At 38.6% G+C, this 22,988-nt stretch overlaps 1 protein-coding gene across 1 annotated transcript in view; it reads right to left on the minus strand.

Annotated features, from left to right (window-relative positions):
- The window catches only part of C9 (complement C9), an 80,356-nt gene that overhangs the window by 34,850 nt on the left and 22,518 nt on the right, over positions 1–22,988 (minus strand). Inside the window, exons 3-5 of the mRNA NM_001737.5 lie at positions 22,567–22,711; positions 22,157–22,304; positions 12,687–12,825 (exon numbers count right to left, since the gene is read on the minus strand). Of these exons, the coding sequence (NP_001728.1) occupies positions 12,687–12,825; positions 22,157–22,304; positions 22,567–22,711 (432 nt within the window). The remainder of the gene's footprint in view (positions 1–12,686; positions 12,826–22,156; positions 22,305–22,566; positions 22,712–22,988) is intronic.

The following is a 22,988-nucleotide window of genomic DNA, read 5'->3' on the forward strand; positions in this document are numbered from 1 at the left end:
TTACCATAAGTCCCTTTTATGCTGCTTTTTCTTTCTAGAATGTTCTCTTACTCTTTCCCCCCAACCCTCCCATAGCACAGACATCACACACACTCCCTTTCACACATACACACAAAACATAGGCCTCAGGTTGATTAATTCCCACTCCTATTTCAAGTCTTACCTGAAACATCACTTCTTTAGGAAAGCCCCTCCTGATATAACAGACTAACAAATATTTTTGCTACAAGCTTTTCTGGCTCCTCTTTTAAAACAAAATAAAATGAAAACCACTTCTTTTATAATTACTTATTAAATAAAACTTCAGCCTTTGACTCTAGTTACATCCCAGCACCCTATAGATATAGGGTCCAGGCTTAACCAGTGCCAGGCCAGCCTCCATGGCCTCAGGCCCGAGGCCAGTTTCACAGACAAAGTTTCCAGCCTCAACTCAGGCTTTAGACAGGCCCAGAATGAGGCTGGTCTCTGTAGCCCTAGACTCAGGATTTTACTTGCAGACTAAGACTCCAGCTATAACCCAATGCCAGGTCAGCACCCGTACACCTCAGCTTCAGGCCAGCTTCCATGACCTCAAGCACCAGGCCAGCACCTGGGACTCAGTCTCAAAGGCTGGTCACTACAGACTCAGGCTCCAGTTTCACCCAGTGCCAGAATGGCCACTGCAAATCCCAAAATCAGGCGCGAGACCAGGGATCCAGCCTCTAGGGCCATCCCAGTGCAAAGCCAGCCCTATTGGCCCCAGGCTCCAGGCCAGCCTTCATGAGTTCAGCCTCCAGGATGGTCCTTACAGCCTCAAGATCCAGTGGACCCACTGGACCCAGGATCCAGGCCCACTTCTGTAGACTCCAGTGCTAGGTTGACCTCTATGGATACAGGCACCAGGCTCATTCCAGCAGACCCAAGCTCCAGGCCTTCCCCAGTGAACCAAGGAACCAATCACGTCTACCCAAGGACTCCAGCATCAAGCCTGCTTGTGGACCATGCCAGATGACTTGCCCAGAATCTCTGGACACACTGATTAATGAAGGGTTATCCCTGCTGCAGTTAGTCTTTAAGGAATGGAATAAGTGCTTACTTCTTCAAAGGCATAGATATGCATGGTCACAAAGATCACACATAATCAGGGAAACATGGCATCACCAAAGGAACAAAATAAAGCACTGGTAACTGACCCTAAAGAAGTGGAAATTTACAAACTGCCTGATAATGAATTCAAAATAATCAGCTTAAAGAAGCTCAGTGAGCTACATGAGAATACAGACAGAAGACTAGATGAAATCAGGAAAAAAATACATGAACAAAATTAGAAGTTCAATAGAGAGAAAGAAAGCATAAAAAAACACAAACAACCAAATTTAGGGAGTTAAAGAACATAATTAGGGAGTTAAAGAACAGAGCTGAAAAATTTCATAGTGAGATTCAATAGCAGATTCTATCACACAGAAGAAAGAATCATGAGCTCAAAGACAGTTCATTTGAAATTACCAATCAGAAAAACAAAAAATAAAAAAGAAATAGTGAAGAAGTCCTGTGGGAACTATGGGGCACCATCAAGTGAACCAGTATATGTATTATGGTGCCCCAGAAGGAAGAGAGAAACACAAAAGTGTAGAAAACTTATTTAAAGAAATAATGACAGCAAGTTTCCCCAATGTGGAGAAAAAAAAGGAGCACCCAGGTCCATGAATCCCAAAGAACCCCAAATAGACTATATATGAAGAGATCTTCACTTAGACATATTATAATCAAACTCAAAAGTCATACAATAAGGAGAATTTTGAAAACAAGAGAAGAACAACTCGTCACATATGAGGGAGCTCACATAAGATTACTAGCAGATGTTTCAGCAAAAGCCTTGAATCCAGGAGAGAGTGAGATGATATATTCAAGAGTATTGAAAGAAAAATAAACTGCCAATCAAGAATAGTATACTTGGCAATTCTGACCTTCATAAATGATGAAGGAATAAAAAATTTCCCAGAGACACAAAAGCTGTGGAAGTTCATTACCTCTAGACCTTCCTATAAGAAATGCTAAAGGGAGTTCTTCAAGTTGAAAGAAAAGAATGATAATTCATAACATAAAAAATTTATGAAATTATAAAATTCACTGGTAAAATTAAGTACATAGTCAAATTCAGAATACTCTCACACCATATTGATGATGTACAAATCAAGTATATCTGTAGTATGAAAATTAAAAGACCACACTATTAGATATAATAATAGCTATAATAGTTAAGGAATACACAATATAAAAAGATGTTAATTGTGACATCAAAAACAAAATGTGGGGAGGAAAAGTGTAGAAGTTTTAAAAATGTGATTGAATTTATGTTGCTAACAGTTTAAAATAGCCTATTATAACTATAGATATTTTATGTAAGCTGCATGGTAACTCATGAAAACCACAAAGCAAACACCTATAATAGACACAGAAAACATAAAAGCAAAGAATTAAAGCATATCAGTACAGAAAATTATCTAATCACAAAGGAAGATAGCAAGAGAGAAAGAAATAGCCAGAAAGAACATACAAAACAACCAGAAAACAATGAAAAAAATGGCAGTGGTAAGTCCTTACCTACCGATAATTATCTTAAATGTACTCAATCAAGAGATGCAGAGTAGCTAAATGGATTAAAAAGCAGGTCCCAACTATTATATATGCTGCCTATGAGACTCACTTCACCTTTAAGTGCCAAAATAGAGCAGGGATAGCTAAACATACCAGATAAAATTTTGACTTGTTAAAAACTGCAAGAAGGGACAAAGAAAATCACTATATAATAATGAAGGGGTCAATTTTGTCAGAGGATATTTAAATTTCTAGACACCCAACATCAGAGCACCTAAATGTATAAAGTAAATGTTAATAGATCTGAAAGGAGAGACAAACTGCAATAAAATAGTAGGGGACTTCTTAATACTCCACGTTCAACAATAGGCAGGTCATCTGGAGAGAAAATTATTAAGGAAACATTGGAACTGAACTACTCTTTAGTCCAAATGGACCTAACAAATATACACAGAACATTCCATCCAAAGTAACATAATACATGTTTTTATCAAGCACACATGGAACATTCTCGTGGACAGATCGTATATTAGGCCATAAAACAAGTCTTAAACATTTTAAGAATATTAAAATAATATTAAGGATCTCTTTTGATCACAATGGTATGAAGCTAGAAATCAATAACAGGAGAAATTTTGGGAAATTCACAAATATGGAAAAATTAACATGTTCCTGAACAATAAATAAGTCAATGAAGAGATTAAAAGTTTAAAAATATCTTAAAATAAATAAAAATGAAAACATTCCAGAACTTATGGAATGCAGCATAAGCAGTTCTAACAGAAAAGTTTACAGTAATAAATGCTTACATCAAAAAAGAATTTCTCAAATAATCTATTGTTACATCTTAAGGAACTAAAAACTGAAGGGCAAACTAAGCTTACTAAACTAAAGTCAATTGAAGTAAGAGAATAATAAAGATCAGAGCAGAAATAAATAAAATAGGTAGTAGAAAAACAACAGAAAAGGCCAACAAAACCAAGAGTTTGTTTTTTAAAAAAGAAACAAAATGAACAAACCTTTAGCTAGGCTAACTCAGGAAGAAATGAGAAAACTCAAATAAAATCAGAAATGAAAGAGGAGACATTACTGTTGGCTCTTCATATCTGCAGGTTTTGCATCCGTGGATTCAACCATCATTGGATCACAAATGTAGTTGGGCCTGCAATGGTTGCATTTGTACTGAACATGTACAAACTATTTCCCTTGTCATTATCTTCTAAACATTACAGTATAACAACTATATAAATAGCACTTACATCACTTAGGTATTCTAAGTAATCTAGAGATGATTTAAATTATACTGGAGGCTGAGCATAGGGTATATGCAAATACCACACCATGTTATATGAGCATCTAAGGATTTAGCTATTTGTGAGTGGTCCTGGGACCAATTCCTCATAGATACTGAGGGACAGCTGTACAACTGATACCACAGAAATATAAATAAACATAAGATATTACTGTGAAAAATTATGCACAAAGAAATTGAATAACCTGGAAGAGATGGATACATTCCTAGAAACATACAATCTATCAAGACTGAATTATGAAGAAATAGAAAATGCAGACCAATAATGATTAAAAAGATTGAATCAGTACTACAAAAAGTCTCCCATGAAAGAAAAGCCCAGAATCTGAAGGCATCAGTGATGAAGTCTACCAGATATTTAAAGAAGAACTAATCCTAGACTTTCTTAAAATATTCCAAAGAATTGAAGAAGAGGGAATATTTCCAAATTCATTTTATAAGACCAGCATTACCCTGATATCAAAGCCAGACAAGAACACTGCAAGAAAAGAAAATTACAAGCCAATATCCCTGATGAACATATATGTATATATATCTTCAATAAAATATAAACAAACTAAATTCAGAAATATATTAAAATGATCATACACAATGATCAAGTGAGATTTATATCTAGGATGCAAAGATAGTTTAACATATGCAAATCAATAATTGTGATACACCACATTAATGGAATGAAGGATAAAAATTATATGATCATCTCAATAGATGTAGAAAAAGCAGTCAATAAAATTCAACGTCATTTAAAGATTAGAAAAACTCTCAACAAATTAGGTATAGAAGGAATGTATCTCGACATAATAAAGGCCATATACAACAAGCCCACATTGACCATTATACTCAGTGGTTAAAACTGAAACTTTTTATCAGACGTCAGGAACAAGACAAGGATGCCCATTGTATCTCTGTTCAAAATAGTACTAGAAGTCTTAGAGCAATTATGCAAAAGAAAGAGATAAAAGGCATTTAACTCAGAAAGGAAGAAGTAAAATTGTCTGCAGATGATATTCTTTTATGTAAAAAACCCTAAAGACACCACCCAAAAAACAAAACAAGACAAAAAATGTTAGAACTAACAAATTCAGTAAAGTTGCAGGATACAAAATCAACATGCAAAAGTCTGTTGCATTTCTACTCACTAGCTACAAACCATCTAAAAAAGAAACTTTTAAAAATACCATTTACTACAGAATTAAAAAGAATAAAACACTTAGGAATAAATTTAACCAAGGAGGTGAAAGAGCTGTATGATGAAATTCATAAAACATTGATGAAAGAAATGGAAAATATACAAATCAATGGAAAGATATCCAATATTCATGGATTGGAAGAATTAATATTGTTAAAATAGCAACACTGCCCAATATGATCTGCAGACTCAATGCAATCCCTATCATAATTTTATGTCATTTTCCACAGAAATAAAAAGAACAATCCTAAATTTTGTATGGAACCACAGAAAATCTCGAATGGCCAAAGCAATCTTGAGAAAAAAGAACAATACTGGTGGCACCATGCTTTCTGATAGAGGGGGTGTAATTTGTAGGCACCTGCACTTGTATGTGAAATGACTAGAAAGGAAATGGCATAAGGCAATTATCAACTCAGCAGCGTAGAGGGCCACTTTCAGATATAACAGATTGTTGGTCAGGGTATCAATTAGGATGTTGTTGAATGGCTCAAGAAAAGGTAGCTTTTCTCACTATGCCAGAATGGTAGTGGCGAGTACAGCCTGAAACTCTGAGGATGGAGTCATCCCAGAAAGCATAGGAATGAAAGCTGAATTGGGAAATGGAAAAATCCATCCATGCGAAAAGAAGTCTAGGCTCAATGTTAAGCATTCAGAAATAGACCAATACTTGTAACCATCATAGAGAGAAAAGCAAAAGTCTTGGACGAGAGACCAAGGGGCAAGATTACAGAAAGCAGAAAAACACAAAGATGGAAGCAAGTTTCTTTATGAGTACTGAATAAACAGATGTTGGAGAAGCTAGATTCAGAGAGAGAAGATCAAGGGGCTTGCATGTTCTAGGAGGCCAGACATATTATAAGGGTCAGTTGAAGTTATCCTGTTTAAGAATTTGTTCATATAATACTCCTTGAAAAGAAATAAACATTGCTTATGGCACTAAAAATGGAAGAGATAGACACGATCAAGAAATATTTCAGAGTTCAAGTTGTGGAGGTTTGGAGAGCAGTTGTAAATAGAGAGTAAGTAGAGAAAACTGTTGAAGATGTCATTAAAATTTTATTTGTACAAATGGATAATAAAACCATAAACCACATATTAGTTATTATTATCAAAGCCATCTCTCACTAATTGAGAGAAGAAACCTATGAACAACAGATTCATTGTAACCTTTTGAGGCACCCCTCTGCCAGAACCATCTAGCCAAGCTACTGTCACATTCTTAACCCTTTAGCCATTAAGTTTTGGGGTAATATGACAGTAAAGGATAACAAGTACAATCCATCTCTATTATCTATAGAATATTTTTTCTGTGCCTAAATCTTAAACGTTTGTGTGCTCTAGGACTTCAGTCTCTATGTTCTTCTCTTCTCCCTCATTGTACACTTCTTTGGTAATCTCAGGCACCCTCAAGAATGCAATGATCGCCAGGCGCGGTTGCTCACGCCTGTAATCCTAGCACTTTGGGAGGCCGAGGCAGGCGGATCATGATGTCAGGAGTTAGAGACCAGCCTGACCAACATGGTGAAATCCCATCTCTACTAAAATACAAAAATTAGCTGAGCACGGTGGCGCACGCCTCAAATCCCAGCTACTCAGGAGGCTGAGGCAGGAGAATCGTTTAAACCCTGGAGGCAGTGATTGCAGTGAGCTGAGATTGCGCCACTGCACTCCAGCCTGGGCAACAGAGCGAGACTCCATCTCAAAAAAAAAAAAAAAAAAAGATGCAATGATCATGTGTATGTTAATTAACACCTAGATCTCTTTTTACAATTTAGATCATTCTCTCCATTTTGATTCAAATAATCTCCTTGTTGTAGGATAACTCCATCTAATTTCATATAGACCCTCAAACTCAAAATTACCAGCATTCGAATCATTATCTTCTTAGAACCCACTCCTTCTTTGGTAGATTTCCTGCACATCCAACTTCCCACATCTCTTTTGATGGCCTATAATTCACTGGTTGTTTGTGTGGGGTTTTTTTTCTTTCCATTTTTATAGGGTCCATCTATAGAAAATTTAGTTTGTGATAGGCACTATTCTAATCACTTCACAGTTATTAACACATTTAATCTTTCTGAAACCCTGTGAAGTGTATACTATTATCATATGATTTTATCATGGAAATTGAGATCCAGGAAATGTAACTAAGTTGCCTAAATTCACATAGGTGGTAAGTGGAGGAAGTTACCAAAATTTAAACCCAGAGAATCTTAATTCAGAACCTTGTGATTGATCATATGCTATACTGTCTCCAATTTATTAATAATTTCTTAATTCTTAAATATGCTGGATTTTATCTCTTCTTCTTCATCTCTACTATTACAGACCCAGATTAGCCTTTTGTCATCTGCTTCTTGGACCATAAAATAGCCTCCTTCTGTTCTCATTACCTCTGGTCTTGTTCCCTTAAAATTTATTTCCACAAAACACAAAGTTCTAAAATGAAACTCTCAGGGTTTTGCTCTCCGGAGTGGCTCCCTCATTATGCTCAGGACTATGCTCAGTGTATTTATTATGGCACATGAGTGCCTTCATGATTTAACCCCTGCCTATGACTTCAACCCTGAATGCATGAGTTTATTTGTAGAACAGAGTCCCTTTCAAGATAGCAGTTTCTATAGGGAAAGACTACATATTTTCCACTTGAGAAACATCAACATAGGACAAATAACCAGGTATGTAATAAGCTTTATCTGCTGCTAGATTTTCTAAATGGGCTTAAGTTGTCAGTAGAAAGAATAGTTGGAATGTGTATTAAGCCTCTGCTTGCAATTTTGCTGTCAACTTTAATGGCAATTCCAATTAAATATTTGTTTTTTGCCATCATTAGAAATATTAACTTACAGTGTTAATATGCTGGCATGAATTTTTTATTCATTCAATAGGCATTTATCTAGCATAGTATACAATATAGTTTTTCAGTATTCTGTGGTAAATAAAAGGGTGAGATAGCAACCAAAAAGCACGTATTATACAGCAAAATATATACCAAATAGAGAAAAAATCAAAGCATATTGCATTTATTTGTAGGAGAAGCATTTTAGAAGATGGAGGATTCAGAGGAGAAAGCTGAGGGTGGAGTGGCAATCAAAAATCAGATCAGGGATCACTTTGTACTCCTTGCCAAGGAGATTGACTACTACACTGCAGGCTATAGATAGACACTCACCAAATTTAAGCTTCAAGGAGAATGATCAGATTTATTATTTTTACACTGAAATGTGGGGAATGAATTGAAGTTGAGAAAAGCTAGAGGCTGTAAACTAAGAACACTATTTTGAGTCATTCCTACATGAGAAGTGATGGGAGCTTAAGGCAGTGGCAGTGGGAATGGGGAATAAGAAACAGATTTAAAGGAGATTATAATAATAGAACTTGAAGATTGATTGGATATTGTGGGTTTTGAGGGAAATGAGTCTGTAAAGAATGTCTTAAGGAGGGATTTCAGGTTTTGAGTTTGATGACTAGGTTGATATTATTTCCACTTACCAAGACAGAGAATTCAAGAGCAAGAAGCAGGAAATTGGGAGTAAGATTGGTTATCAGCTGTAGGTATGTTGACTCTGTGACAATGGCAGACAACTGGATATACAAGCATCTAGTTCAGAGAGAGATGTGGGCTGGAAATATAGGATTTGCATGCAATCAGAATAGAGTGAAAACTGAAGCCATAGGAGAAGAGGAAAAGGAAATCACTTAAGAAGAATATATAGAGAGAAATCAGTGAAGCAATGTAGGAACTCTGGAAAGAGTTCAATACTATTTAAGGATTCTCCAAAAGGGAGCTCAAAATAAGCTTGAGATAGACTTGAAGAGGGTTGAAAAATGCATAGACACAAGATAACAGAGAGTGGGGAATAAATGCAATGCACATATGTTGAGATAGCAAGTGTAGACAACATGGGTATATAGAGATGGCAGAGGTTTCTTCATTTGTTTCTTTATAGATGAGACCCTTGAAAAAGATTTATATATGAAGGCCAGAGTGGAAGGAAAAAGAGGGAAAGGTTGAGTGGAGGCTTAGCAGAATGTCTAGCAATGTACTTGGAGTGGGATCCAGGCTAGGGAAGAGAAAGAATAACTTCCTACTGAGAGAATAGGATGTAAAGAGGGACTGAGTAGCAAAGTAAGTACACAGAATAACTTTGAAGAAACAACTGTGAAAGCTCCTGCCTATGACTTGGGTATTCTCTGTCAAGTTGGAGCTAATGTCATCTGCTGAACCCAGGATCAAAATGGTGAGTAAGAGTAAGAGGCTTGAGGGTGTTGCTGAAAGATTGAGCCTGCTCATGTGAAGAACGAGAATGAGGAAAGCCTGAGAAGGTGTTACAGACCTACTGAACAATGTGGAGGACTCAGTTGAAATTATAATGCTAGCTGTTTTTGTGTGAGCATAATATTCTCTTTAGTGTTCAGCAGTGTAAGTTTACAAGTAGGGCAGAAAACAATAAGGTTCATGCCAAATCAGAGTTTTTCTGGATTGTAGGAGGAATGGAAACAAGGACATTGCTAATATTGGCAAATGTAGTCAAAATGGATCTAGCTTGGATGAACAAAATAATTTAAAGTAGGAAGAGCAAGATATACCAGGAGAAAAAAAGATTCCAAAAAGACTGAAGGTCTAGATGAGGCCAAGAAGAGGTTTGTGGGCATAAATGAGGGTGAGAGCTGAGAGGTTAGACAACTGTGATAAGATGAGAGGGTTAAAAGTTGGATTTTCAAATTTCAGAGACAGCAAAGTTCTGGTAAAGACAAAGCCAAGGGTTAGGTGGCTAGAAATGAGAGTGGCTGTAGTGAAATGGTATAGGAAGTTATGAGGCAACAAGAAATACTTGGCAGTCCACATGATATTGAAGTCACCCAGGATTTTGGCAGGATTGGGGCGAAAACTATGCTTATAATCTGTGTGCATTTTGCAAATTTTTGTTCATCTCCCAAATCTTACATTTTCATGGAGACTCAGATTTAAGAAGAATTATAATGAACACCTGAAACCTGATTTAGGCTTACAAATTGTTATTCAACAACAAAAGTGAAGAAACAACCAAAGAAAAGTAAGTAGAAAAGGACCTAAGTTATAAACGCAATCATCACTCCCCCCTCCCCTTTTTACTTCTACAGTTGTTCTTGGTCATTACTGCTAATTTATAAAGTGGTCAGTAAGTCTTGACCTGCTGTGTGACCACTAATTATGTACCTAGCTTTGGCTAAGTCTTTAACTAATTATACTCTAAAATGAATAATAGCTAATATTTACTGAGGGCTTGCTATATGCCAGTGACTTTCTGAGTGTTTCACATATTTAGACCCATTTATCTCCATGAGGTAGGCATTATTATTTCTATTTTATAGATAAAGAAACTGAGGCACAATGATGATAAGTAATTTGCCTGAGATTTTACAGCACTAAGGGGCAGAGGTGGGATTTCAACCTAAGCAGAGTGGCTCTAGAACCACAGCCCATTAGAGACAAAAGACCCTAAATGAGAGAGTATGAATGGATGAGAATAAGATGTCATTATTTAGGTGCATTCCCATGTTATGATGGACCAGTATAATTCTGTCAAAAATGAAAGCCAATAAATTATTGCCAATAAGTAACTAAGGCAAGAGTTAAAAAATTATTTCATCCAACAAAAACTGGTGAGGATTATATGGAGTTGGTATTGGTAATAAGCTATAAAGAAGTATAATATGTATAATTTGCCTTCAGGTACTACTGATACACATGAGAAAGTAAATGACATATTTCATTAAGTAGTAGGAATTAAAGAAAAAAATCATCTCTAAGGAGTTAAAGTAGATATTTCCCCTCATGTAAGTTTGTGTTCTTTTATGTATAATAATAATGAGTTTGGCTACTTATTTTCCAAGACCATAACAGATTTGAATAAGGGGATTATCAGCAGTGGGAGCAGCAACGGAGTGATGTGGAGGCCTTAGCCAACCCCTATTCAACTCCCACTGCCCCAGTTGGCATCAAATAAATATTCAAGTCCACAATTCCTATCTTCTTTCTAATAAGCTTGACATCAAACTCTTTTGGGGGTATTAATCTCACCTGAACTAGTAAAAGGTATCTATAGTCTTCATTTTTCCCACCATATATGAACATAGATTAGTTTTGCTACAGAAATATTGATGTGTTAGATTATGTGATGCTGCTCCAAACTCCATTGTGATTTATATCACACCACATCACCTTTCTAAAATACCAAACATTCTGAAATGCTGAAACACATGTGTTTCCAGGGTTATGGATAAGGGAAAGCAGTGCTTCCTTTCCAAACGTGGCTTCAAGATCAGTCCTGGGCAGCCCCTAGCCGTCACTATTCTATGTCGTACAAGTTATTACCCCTCTGGAGAAGCTAAGAGCTGATCACAGTGGTGAAGACAGGAAAACCGTAAAATGCAGACTAAACTCCAAACAAACTAAATCAACACAACAATAGCCCTTCTCCCATCAGCAATGACCAAGGTGACCATGTTTGGTATTTTCTATTTAAGAAAGGAGAATGTATGTAATACTTTTTAAAAATAATTGTCATCTTTCCATCACAAAAATCTGTGCTTAAAGAAGTTTAACCTGGCATTATTGGGGAAAACCAACAGCCCAAAAGATTTCCTCAGATTTTTTGGCAACTGACATATTCTGACTTATAGGTATAAGAAACATGACTACATGTGAAAAAAAACATGCCAGTCAAATGGTCAAGATATGACAGTCTTTAGCATTCATGAGAAAACATGATTGCTTCTGGCTGCAATATGTAGAGACTGATTTATGATATTTTCAGAAAGTAATGCTTATTTAAAAGCATACACATTTTTCAAACTGGTGGGACTGATAACAATAAGAGCCCTGTAATAACTGAATAAGGCAGACCTTGTGGCTCTTCTTTACCAATGGGACCACTTTAAGAAACAGACTCTTGTAGCTCCTGGGTCAGAGCAAGCTTATTATTATTCTTCATTATATTTTGCTTGGAACAAAGAAAGAATTTCTAAAGGTGATAAATATTAATCCTTTTAATGGTGGAGGGCTACAGTCTGTCATTGTTCTAGAGAATTAGGTGACTTTAAGAAAGATAGCTAAGTTTGGAATAGTGTTGTGTAGAGTAAAAATCATTTTTATAAATCATTTTCAAGAGGTAGAGGAGTTTAAGGTGAGTGAAAATAGCCACTCACATTAGTCAAGCAGGCTCTTCATAGGCGGATGCTGAAGGAAAACCAACGCAAAGATGAGTTTTCATCAGGAGGCTAGCAAACAATAACAGCAAAACTCAAGTAGCACGTAAGCAGTGTTATCACTACTTAAATCAGCACTGATTTAATTTTTAGTTATGTTAGATCCTGAGATAATTCTTTTTATGGAGTCTAGGTATTTGCCACATCTTTATCACTAGGTGCATGTTACTGAGGATTGAGAAGACACAATTGTATGTTTCTAAAGAGATCCAAACTACATCGCCTCTTCTTTAAGTCTTGTGTTCATGTGAAATTATTATTCTACTGAGTTTTTCACATTGTTTGGTACTAAACTTATTTAAGCAATTTTTCAGCCAAAAGTTGAACAATGTGTTTTCCTCCGAGGAGACTTACTTCATAGATCAAAGAAGCCACGTTCCAAGGTCTTCGGTAGTATGTCAGAGTGTTTCCATCCCGATCCCGGTTACAGAGTCCATTGTAGAACTCATTGTCAAAAGGTGTGCTTAGGGGATCCATCCCTAAAATGTTGATCCTGAGAATGAACAGAGTAGTATCAGAAGTGGAAATACCACAACACAATGCAAGGCAGCCCTCTGTAGCTGGAAAAAGTGAGACAGCTTCAGTTCATGTCACCGTCACCCAATATGTGTGTGCTATAATCAGGAACAGAAGCAAGAGCCTGTTCACCTTGGCTCAGTGTCTCTGGCAGAAAGCATACCTTAGGAGAGGCTTATGAACTCTTTTAGGCAACTAAGGCACTGTTTAGAGTGCAATGAAAGAAATGCAATAAGTAAGGCACATGGGACCATCTGGTTCCTGGAGTTTTAACTTCACTGCTGTAACTCTTACCTAACCTCCCTTAGTGAACCAATAACTGATGCTGTAATACCAACTATTTAAATTATTTGAGAACAGAGCATCTCAGGGGGCCAATATAACATGTGCATGTAATTTTTCATCTATGAATCAACATTGGGGCTTTCTCTCACTCACCCCATTCTCTTTAAACTTAAGCCTTTTCCTCCAGCTGTCTCATTGCTTGTCAAGAACCTCATTCCCTCCAGGCTTATATTATTCCCGTTATGCTCTCCAAGATGAACACAAAAATTTTAGCATCCTGGCAAGGCATTCTCAAAAGTTCTATTTTTTCCCATAGCAAAATATTTTTATTTGGCAAGCTTTCATTCATAAATATAAATTTTATTTAGCTTTTAAAAAAGTTTAATTTTACTTGTAGGCTTAGAAACAATATATGAACTAGAAGCAGTTATTTCCTTGTGAAATATACCTCTGTTCATTGGAGGAACACAGTCATTGCTGTCTAGGCTGTATCTGGAATAAACGGCCCCAAGCCAGGGAGGCCAATAGGTTTGAGGATCAAATCTATAACTTACCTTGGTACAAAAACAAAAACACAAACTCTTCCATTGCCCTAGGCCACATTCCTAACTCCAATGAACTGGATTACAAATCTGGATGTTGGTTTTAAGACCAATTTGTCAAAGAGTGGGTAGTTTACTGTAAACCCATGGCTTATGCAAGAGAAATAATTGAAAGGGTTTCCTACTGGTAGTGGGTTAGTTAAAAACAACATCTTTATATAAATAGCACATTTTACATAAACTTTGAATCTACGAAGTTCCAAAGTGAATCTAAAATGGTTCAACTTTAATGGAAGGCAAGTTAAGAAACTGATGCATGAATATCTTCCTCAAGGCTGACATATAGATAAAATTGACCACCTCCCACTGCCTGTCCCACCAAAATACCTTTCATGAAAAATGCTATGGCCTTAAAGTTCTAATATAGGGTCAAAAATTAGACCTATTAATTTGAATATGAGAAAAAATAAAAAAACATTATATATTTGATTTATTTTTTTAAACACCTTATTCCTCATGATAAATTAAAATTTTGTCCCAATCCTTTACCCATCTCTGCATGTACACCCTTGCCATGACCTCATCACCGGCAAAGTATACTTCCCTCCCTAGTGGCTTTGTGCTTGGCCATGTGACTTACTTTAAGCCAATGGCATGTAGTTGAGAGTGACAGTGGGCCAGTTCAAAGCATGGGAATGAAGAGGCCTCATTCATTGCTTTTGCTTTCCTGTATTTGTGCCATTGCCTTGAAAAGGGCTTCTAATGGGTAGCTGCTGCCCCTTCAACCTGGCTATCCCAGTGATCCCAGTGAAAAGCAGAACCACCCAGCTGTTGCAGCTTGAGGTGAAGCTCCCAGTGAAGCCCAGCCTTGTGAGAAATAAACACTTATATCTCCCTCTCCCTCTCCCTCTCCCTCTCCGTCTCCCTCTCCGTCTCCCTCTCCCCTTTCCATGGTCTCCCCTCTCCCTCTCTTTCCACGGTCTCCCTCTCATGCCGAGCGGCAGCTGGACTGTACTGCCGCCATCTTGGCTCACTGCAGCCTCCCTGCCTGATTCTCCTGCCTCAGCCTGCCGAGTGCCTGCGATTGCAGGCGCGCACCGCCACGCCTGACTGGTTTTCGTATTTTTTTGGTGGAGACGGGGTTTCGCTGTGTTGGCCGGGCTGGTCTCCAGCTCCTAACCGCGAGTGATCCGCCAGCCTTGGCCTCCTGAGTTGCCGGGATTGCAGACAGAGTCTCGTTAACTCAGTGCTCAATGGTGCCCAGGCTGGAGTGCAGTGGCGTGATCTCGGCTCGCTGCAGCCTCCACCTCCCAGCCGCCTGCCTTGGCCCCCCAAAGTGCCGAGATTGCAGCCTCTGCCCGGCCGCCACCCCGTCTGGGAAGTGAGGAGCGTCTCTGCCTGGCCGCCCATCGTCTGAGATGTGAGGAGCCCCTCTGCCTGGCTGCCCAGTCTGGAAAGTGAGGAGCCTCTCTGCCCGGCCGCCATCCCACCTAGGAAGTGAGGAGCGCCTCTTCCCGGCCGCCATCCCATCTAGGAAGTGAGGAGCGTCTCTGCCCGGCGGCCCATCATCTGAGATGTGGGGAGCGCCTCAGCCCTGCCGCCCCGTCTGGGATGTGAGAAGCGCCTCTGCCCGGCCGCAACCCCGTCTGGGAGGAGAGGAGCGTCTCTGCCCGGCCGCCCCATCTGAGAAGTGAGGAGACCCTCTGCCTGGCAACCGCCCCGTCTGAGAAGTGAGGAGCCCCTCCGCCCGGCAGCCGCCCCGTCTGAGAAGTGAGGAGCCCCTCCGCCTGGCTGACACCCCATCTGGGAAGTGAGGAGCGTCTCTGCCAGGCAGCCACCCCGTCCGGGAGGGAGGTGGGGGTCAGCCCCCGCCAGGCCAGCCGCCCCGTCCGGGAGGGAGGTGGGGGGGTCAGCCCCCCGCCCGGCCAGCTGCCCCGTCTGGGAGGTGAGGGGCGCCTCTGCCTGGCCACCCCTACTGGGAAGTGAGGAGCCCCTCTGCCCGGCCAGCCGCCCAGTCCGGGAGGGAGGTGGGGCGGTCAGCCCCCCGCCTGGCCAGCCACCCCGTCCGGGAGGTGAGGGGCGCCTCTGCCCGGCCGCCCCTACTGGGAAGTGAGGAGCCCCTCTGCCCGGCCGCCACCCCATCTGGGAGGTGTGCCCAGCAGCTCATTGAGAACGGGCCATGATGGCAATGGCAGTTTTGTGGAATAGAAAAAGGGGAAAGGTGGGGAAAAGATTGAGAAATCAGATGGTTGCTCTGTCTGTGTAGAAAGAAGTAGACATGGGAGACTTTTCATTTTGTTCTGTACTAAGAAAAATTCTTCTGCCTTGGGAAAAAAAAAAAAAGAAATAAACACTTATTTTTGTATCACTAAGGTTTTGACACAAGCTCTCCACCAGTAAGACATAAAATACTGGAAGCAAATGACCTGGGTTGTTTCTTAAACAAGATCTCAGCTACATTTTCTTTATATGATAGTGAACTACATATCTGGTGTGGCTACTTTAACAGAGACATTGTACCTCTTTATTTTCAGTGAACAATGAAATCAACTTTTGTTTATATTGATGATTAGCTCTTAGGTGACTACTATATCTATGTGTTGTACAGTGTTTGCAATTAGCAGGGGGGAATATTAAGACAGTTTATATTCACTCTCTGCTTCCATGCAAATTGTGTTCAAATTAAGGAGTAGAACATAAAATCACCAATTTCAAAAACTAGGCCAAGGAAGAATACACAATCAGCCCTCCATATCTGTGGGCTCTGTGCCTGTGGATTCAACCAATCATGGATTAAAAACATTTGGAAAAAAATGTACATGATAAGCACGTACAAACTTTTTTTCTCTTGTAGTATAGCAACAATTTATATGGCATTTACACTGTATCAGGTGTTATAAATAACCCAGAGATGATTTAAAGAGTACAGGAGGATGTACATAGGTATGTGCGAATACTATGTCATTTTATATCAGGGACTTGAGCATCCTGAAAGTTTTGTACATGTGGGAGGTCCTGGAACCGATCCCTGATGGGTAGAAAGGGAGGATTGTACTTGTGCCAAATGAGGGGTACATGTGAGTGCTTTACACATTGAGTCTTCTGGAGGAGGAAATCACCATGGGAGGGTCATTAAAAGAGTTTTAGAAGAAAGATTTGATATGGGTTTTGAGGGGTGGGTAAATTGGGATGGGGCTAGTGCAGGAGAAATGTGTGGGTAAGAGCTCAGAGACGGAAATGGCATGTTATGAGGGTAATGGTCTTCAGATACTCTGTTTGTCTCCGCTATAAAGGAATTTTGATAAATTATACTTTCCTGCACATTTTTAGCGTGACATCTAATATTTTTCATCTTAAGATTAAGTAGATGCAAAGAATATAATTCCTAATAATGTTGTCATTATTTGTACTTTAACATATAATTATTTTACCACTTTAAAGATAAAATCAATAAATATAAATGCTGTAGTGATGCTGGGTCACACAGCATTGATATTTTTCTAACAGTTGGAAATTTTTTAGTTATTTTTATTCCTTTTTATTTATTTTTTTAATAGGCTTTACTTTTTAGAGCAGCTTTAGGTTCACAGCAAAAGTGAACAGAAGGCACACAGACTTCCTATATACTCTATGCCCCTTTTTATTCTTGAATCCACATTTCTATTCCATTTCCCTCACAGAATTTTAACCTAATGTAATATAGTTTATTTTTTAAAGTTTTTATTGATTGTCTTGTCATACTTTTCTGTACCAAAAAGATATTAATTGAAATTTAAAAATATTAAATACTCTTTGACCATAGGGTCTAAGTATTAAAAATTCTTTATTAATAGTGCCATATATAGGTATCTTAAATTTTTAAAAATCATTACTGTAAGTAAAATTTTATTGGAAAGCTATCTTAATGAAATGAATGAGTCTTCTTTTTAAATTAATATGTTGGTTCCCACATCCATGAATGAATATTACTTCATTCATTCATTCATGGTGCTAGGAAGAGACAGTGTTCAGTATCAATTTGAGTCCTACTTTTCATTTTTATAGTTGTAAGTGCTGAGAAGTTTTACTCACATAAATAAGTAGATAAGAATAAAAGAAATTTTATTATAACAATGTCACACAATTTTAATCCCTTTTTCTGAGTTATATACCAAAAAGAGATCCCATAGTTAGTGATCTTTCATCAAAAATTATTTTTATGCTCCATTATCTAAAAGTTGATTAGGTAATCTTTCAGTGTTGATAAAAAGAATTAGAGATCACAAAACTTCAAGGTGTCAGAGTCCAGTTGAGTGCTAACATTTGGAGTTGTGTCTTGTTTTTTTTTTCCTCTCTATAGTAAAATGTGAGTGTGAGATGGGTGAGGAGTATACTCTGCTCTTAAAAAGTAAGAAGTAAGTGATTGTTTAAAAAAGCAAGAAAGGAGAATGGGCCTGACAGCTTGAATGCAGCTGAATTGTCATGCTTATTAATTTTGTGAAAAACATGTACGTATGGAAGTTGAGGATTTACTATTAGCTTAGCTACATAATTAATAGTTGAGGAAACTATTACCTTAAGACTTATTTGTCTGCCCTTGGAAAGTTTTTGTGCACCCCATGGTTTGCATATCCTAGTTTGAAGGTTATTGTTTTATAGATCATCAAATTGGCCAGTTGGCTGGACCCATCTGGAAAGTTAAAATGAAGTTGATCCACAGTCTAAAGCACAACAAAGGAAGAAATGTTTCAAAAGCTTTGGACTTGGTTCCACTACTACAGAGACAGCCAGTCTAGTCCAGAATAAGCCAATTTTTTCTGCCAAGAAACATGAACACTTCTCATGGATGGAAAGTCATCACCTGGGAAATAAAAAAAGAATATGTTCTTTGGCAGTGCTTATAGATGCCTGCTTTCACACCTGCATCTAGAACCACGGGCAGTTCCAATTTACCAGGTGAACTGAAGAGAAAGCTCCCTTCACAGAAGTGGTGTTATGCTTAGATCACAAAAAATAATTCCTTGCATATCACTTACAGCTGGCTGGATGTATGCCTTTTCAATGAATGCAAGATGGGTTGGGGGATTTCCCCAAACACTTCTGGAGAATCTCAGATGCCTACAAATAAGAGGCTGAAACATTTGTGATACAACTCAATTCTCCTGGCATAAGAACATAGATGTGAGAGGCCTTCAAATGAAAACAGTATAAATTAATTACCATGAGTGCTTGTGACTTTCACATGTAGAAGAATCTAACTGTATGTGACTATTGATAGGACTTTTTGAGGTTGTCCAGAATGAATTGGGTAGATGTAGTTTATAAGCATGTTGCTATGATTAGGGAGTGTACTCCTATTACCTCTATTTCACAAAGAATCCACAGCTCCATATAAGAATACTGGAGGTTTGTAGTGAGTAAACATGCAACATTAATGGTATGAAAGAATATTACAAATATAACAATATATGTTGTTTTGAAACCTCTTCCTAAATATTAATTACTGATTTATACCACTCTCCTATATTCCTTAATTCAAATATTTGTGTGATAAGTAGCTACTTAAGGAGTTTCATTTTTTAAGGTTAGTTTTGCTTTGAAGTTAAGGTGTCGAAGTTAAGACTTACGGATTTTGTAGTGATGTGAGGGAACCGCTGTGGGTGTTGGTTGGGGTTTTAAGGAGGAGAGGGTAAGGTGGTATGGTAGAAAAATATAGTTTTATGAGACTCAGAGAAACTTGTTTCAGCTCTACTAGAACTAATCAGTCAAATGGCCTTATTTATTTCACTCAGTTCTTATCTATAAAATGAATATAATACCTCCTCTAACAATCTCCCAGTATTATTTGGAAAATCTATGGAGATACAGTGTGGAAAAATATTTTGAAAAGTTTAAAGTATTATGCAAATGAAAGTCGTCATAGAACAATAGGTTTCATGAAGACTAAATTTAACATAGGTTATTACTCATGGTAATGGGGAATTTAATTAAAAAATGTTGATGGACTGATTCTATCAAGACCTACTTCATTTTCCATTTCTGCAGCTGACCTTTCCCCATAGCTAGGGCACCACCTTCTTACACAGCCTTGAAGACTCAGCTGTGGGATGGTTCCTAACACCAACCCTGACTGTGGTAAAGCGTGAGGTATTTAAGAATTCCTAGCTAGCCCTGCTTCATTATGAAACTCTCTGACAAATGCTATGCAACAAATTTTTCTTTTCCCTGAACAAAGGAAACCAATAGATTATGAATGATTGTTTTTCAGCTAAATGGGCCAATATTTCTATATTCTTTTCCTATAAGACAAACTATAAATTTGCATTGAATGAGAATAAATAACATATGTTAAGCTGTTTTATTTAGATTAAAAAGAAAGTTGTTTCTTGGATCCCAATTAAAGCAAAATAAAGTAGTAATGGGCTTTCACCATGGACTCACAATCTTTCCCTGAGGAAATAAATAAAAAGAATCAGGACCATTTGAGCACACCATGATCTAGTTATAAGATTTGGGAAAACTCCCATGCCATTTACTGCCTAAAATTTACTAAGAGGGCCTGCAGAACTTAGGGGCCTAAGACCATCCATTTGATTTGAGATTCCCACCTTTAGGCTAAGGGCCAAAGGCACTGTAAGTAATTTTGAATGCTGCTTGAACAAGATTTTATAAAGTGCATGAAGGGCACGTGAAATGCTTTATCTGGTGCCTGACTCTTGGTATCCTGGGATATTTTTCTTACCTAGATTTAAGAAGTAGAAGTTTCATTTGGCTTAGAGAGAGGAGACATCTCCTTCATTAGCTAAACTTTATAGAGGTCTTATCATAGGAACTGCCTAGTAACTTTGTGTAGGGTTTCTCAACCTCGGCACTGACGCTTTGGGTCAGGCTGTCCTATGCTTAGCATCATCTCTGGCCTCCACCCACTACATGCCAATAGCACTCCCCATTCTCACCCCCTCCAAGATGTCACAGCTACAATGGTCTCCAGATACTGTCTTTTCTCTCTTTTTTTTTTTTTTTTTTTTTTTTTTGAGATGGAGTCTTGCTCTGTCGCCCAGGCTGGAGTGCAGTGGCATGATCTCGGCTCACTGCAAGCTGTGCCTCCTGGGTTCACACCATTCTCCTGCCTCAGCCTCCCAAGTAGCTGGGACTACAGGCACCCACCACCATGCCCTGCTGATTTTTTGTATTTTTAGTAGAGATGGGTTTTCACCGTGTTAGCCAGGATGGTCTCGATCTCCTGACTTCGTGATCCGCCCGCCTCGGCCTCCCAAATTGCTGAGATTACAGGCGTGACCCGCCGCAGATATCGTCAAATGTCTGCTGGGGGAAAAATTACCACTGATTGAGAACCACTGCCTTACCCTTCTACCAGCCTTGCTCTTACCATCACCCCTGTCTTTTTTCCTCTCCTCATCTCCATACCCGGGACTGGAGTCCTATCCGGGAAAAGAAATTCAGTCTTACATGATGCCAATTGACAATATTTTAGAAAGTAGTTAAAGGATATTCATTAATTAATAATTAGCCAATGTATCCACCTACCAAGTATTTACTGAGCACCTACTATGACCCAGGCACAGGAATTATGAGCATAAAGAGACACATTACATTATAGGTGAGGAAATAAAGCCATATACCATCTCTTTCAATATACTACTGGGTGGAAGAATGACCATGTCTTTGTTGGGGACAATTTTCCAACAAATCCACCTTTACCAAAAATAGCAACAAATCCACCTTTACCAAAAACAGCTCAGAGTGAGTAAGAGAGGCTGTGTAGTAGATATTCCTAGGATGCCCTCTGACTATGTATGGAACAGAACAGAATAGAACCGAATCTCTCTGCATATAGTCTCTATTCTGTATAATCCTGAGTTCTAAACTCCAAGACATCCCATCTGAGCTTACAGCCATCTGTCCAGAGCCCCTAGGTTTTGTATGGAAAATGAGTGAAATGTCAGCTCTCTATAATGAGAACCAGAACCTCAACATAATCATCCTCTGGCATCAAAACTACTTCCTCTGATCACATTCCTCCTGGGTCAGCTCCAGAATGCTGGAAACTCCCAAGATCCAGGAGAAGTTCCAATGGAAGACAGCCTTCCCAGCAATGCAAATATTTGAATTGAATTGCTAGATCTCGTATTGGAAATTCATTCCAAATGTTAACATATCATGTCAATGTTGCTGTGGTCTCCCAGAGGTTCCTAAATGAGAGATTTCATCTCTTGCTCCACTGAGAGACAATTATCTAACATCTTGATCATCTAGTCCACTCTACAGACCCCTACTGAGGGCAGGCAATTTGTCCAAATTATCCTGAGATGCTTATTTAGCACTTCCTTTAAGCTTAAAGGTAGTTCAAAAATAATACAGACCCATCAGCTGTATCACCTATGTCCCTCGCACAAATGCTTCTACCAGTCTATCACAATGAGAGAGATGGAGATCATTTTCACTCATTTTCATCTGAAAAAGTACAAGTAAAATACACACCCATAGCCTGCTGTTCGTGCCAGCTCAGACTCTTCTACCACTCTGTCTCTGCAGGGGGGACGGGGCTCACTTTCACAATCATCCTCATCTGAAAAGTCTCCGCAGTCATTGTCACCATTACACCGAAGTCGCATCTTTATGCATCTGCCTGCAATCAAAATCAGGAGAGACTCAATGTATCTAATGTCAAATTTTCTCTTTCTTTCTGAAGTTATCAAATGCATTTTAACCCTGGAGGTGAGGTATCAGAAAAACACATTTGAGTTCTTTGTACAGAATATATAGATGGCCTCTTTTGGGGCCTTTCACGCTTGGAAATCCAAGTGTCCAGAAGCATATGCTTTTTTTTTTCTTTTCATTCAGGAAGGCACACAGAAAGCCACAATGAGCAATTCAAGCACAAAGATTACCTGTACTGCATTGAAAGTCATTTCCGCAGTCATCCTCAGCATCCTCACAGGGCTCTGTGGGCACACACTGTCGTCTGTCTCCCACAGCGTCGGTGCATCTTTTCCCATTAAATTGTCCAAAGACCTCAATGCTTCTTGAACGAAACTGCACAATATCAGTTGGAATGATTAGAATTTCTAATGCCAAAAAAAGGGTATGGTCTAAAGGTGCATCCATACAACTATATCCCTGCAATGAGTCAATGGTTTTAAGATAGAAGTGGTGGAAGAAGTCACTGATGTTATTTAGGGTAACACTCTGCATTCTAGGTTTGGCAGCCTCTTATACAGATGATTCCTCTGGACACTCATTTAGTATTCTGTACAACATAAAGATTTCCTGGAAAAGTTAGCAACATACATTTAAATGTTTATCTCTCTTT

Source organism: Homo sapiens, chromosome 5 (genome assembly GCF_000001405.40).
Source record: "Homo sapiens chromosome 5, GRCh38.p14 Primary Assembly".
NCBI lineage: Eukaryota > Metazoa > Chordata > Mammalia > Primates > Hominidae > Homo > Homo sapiens.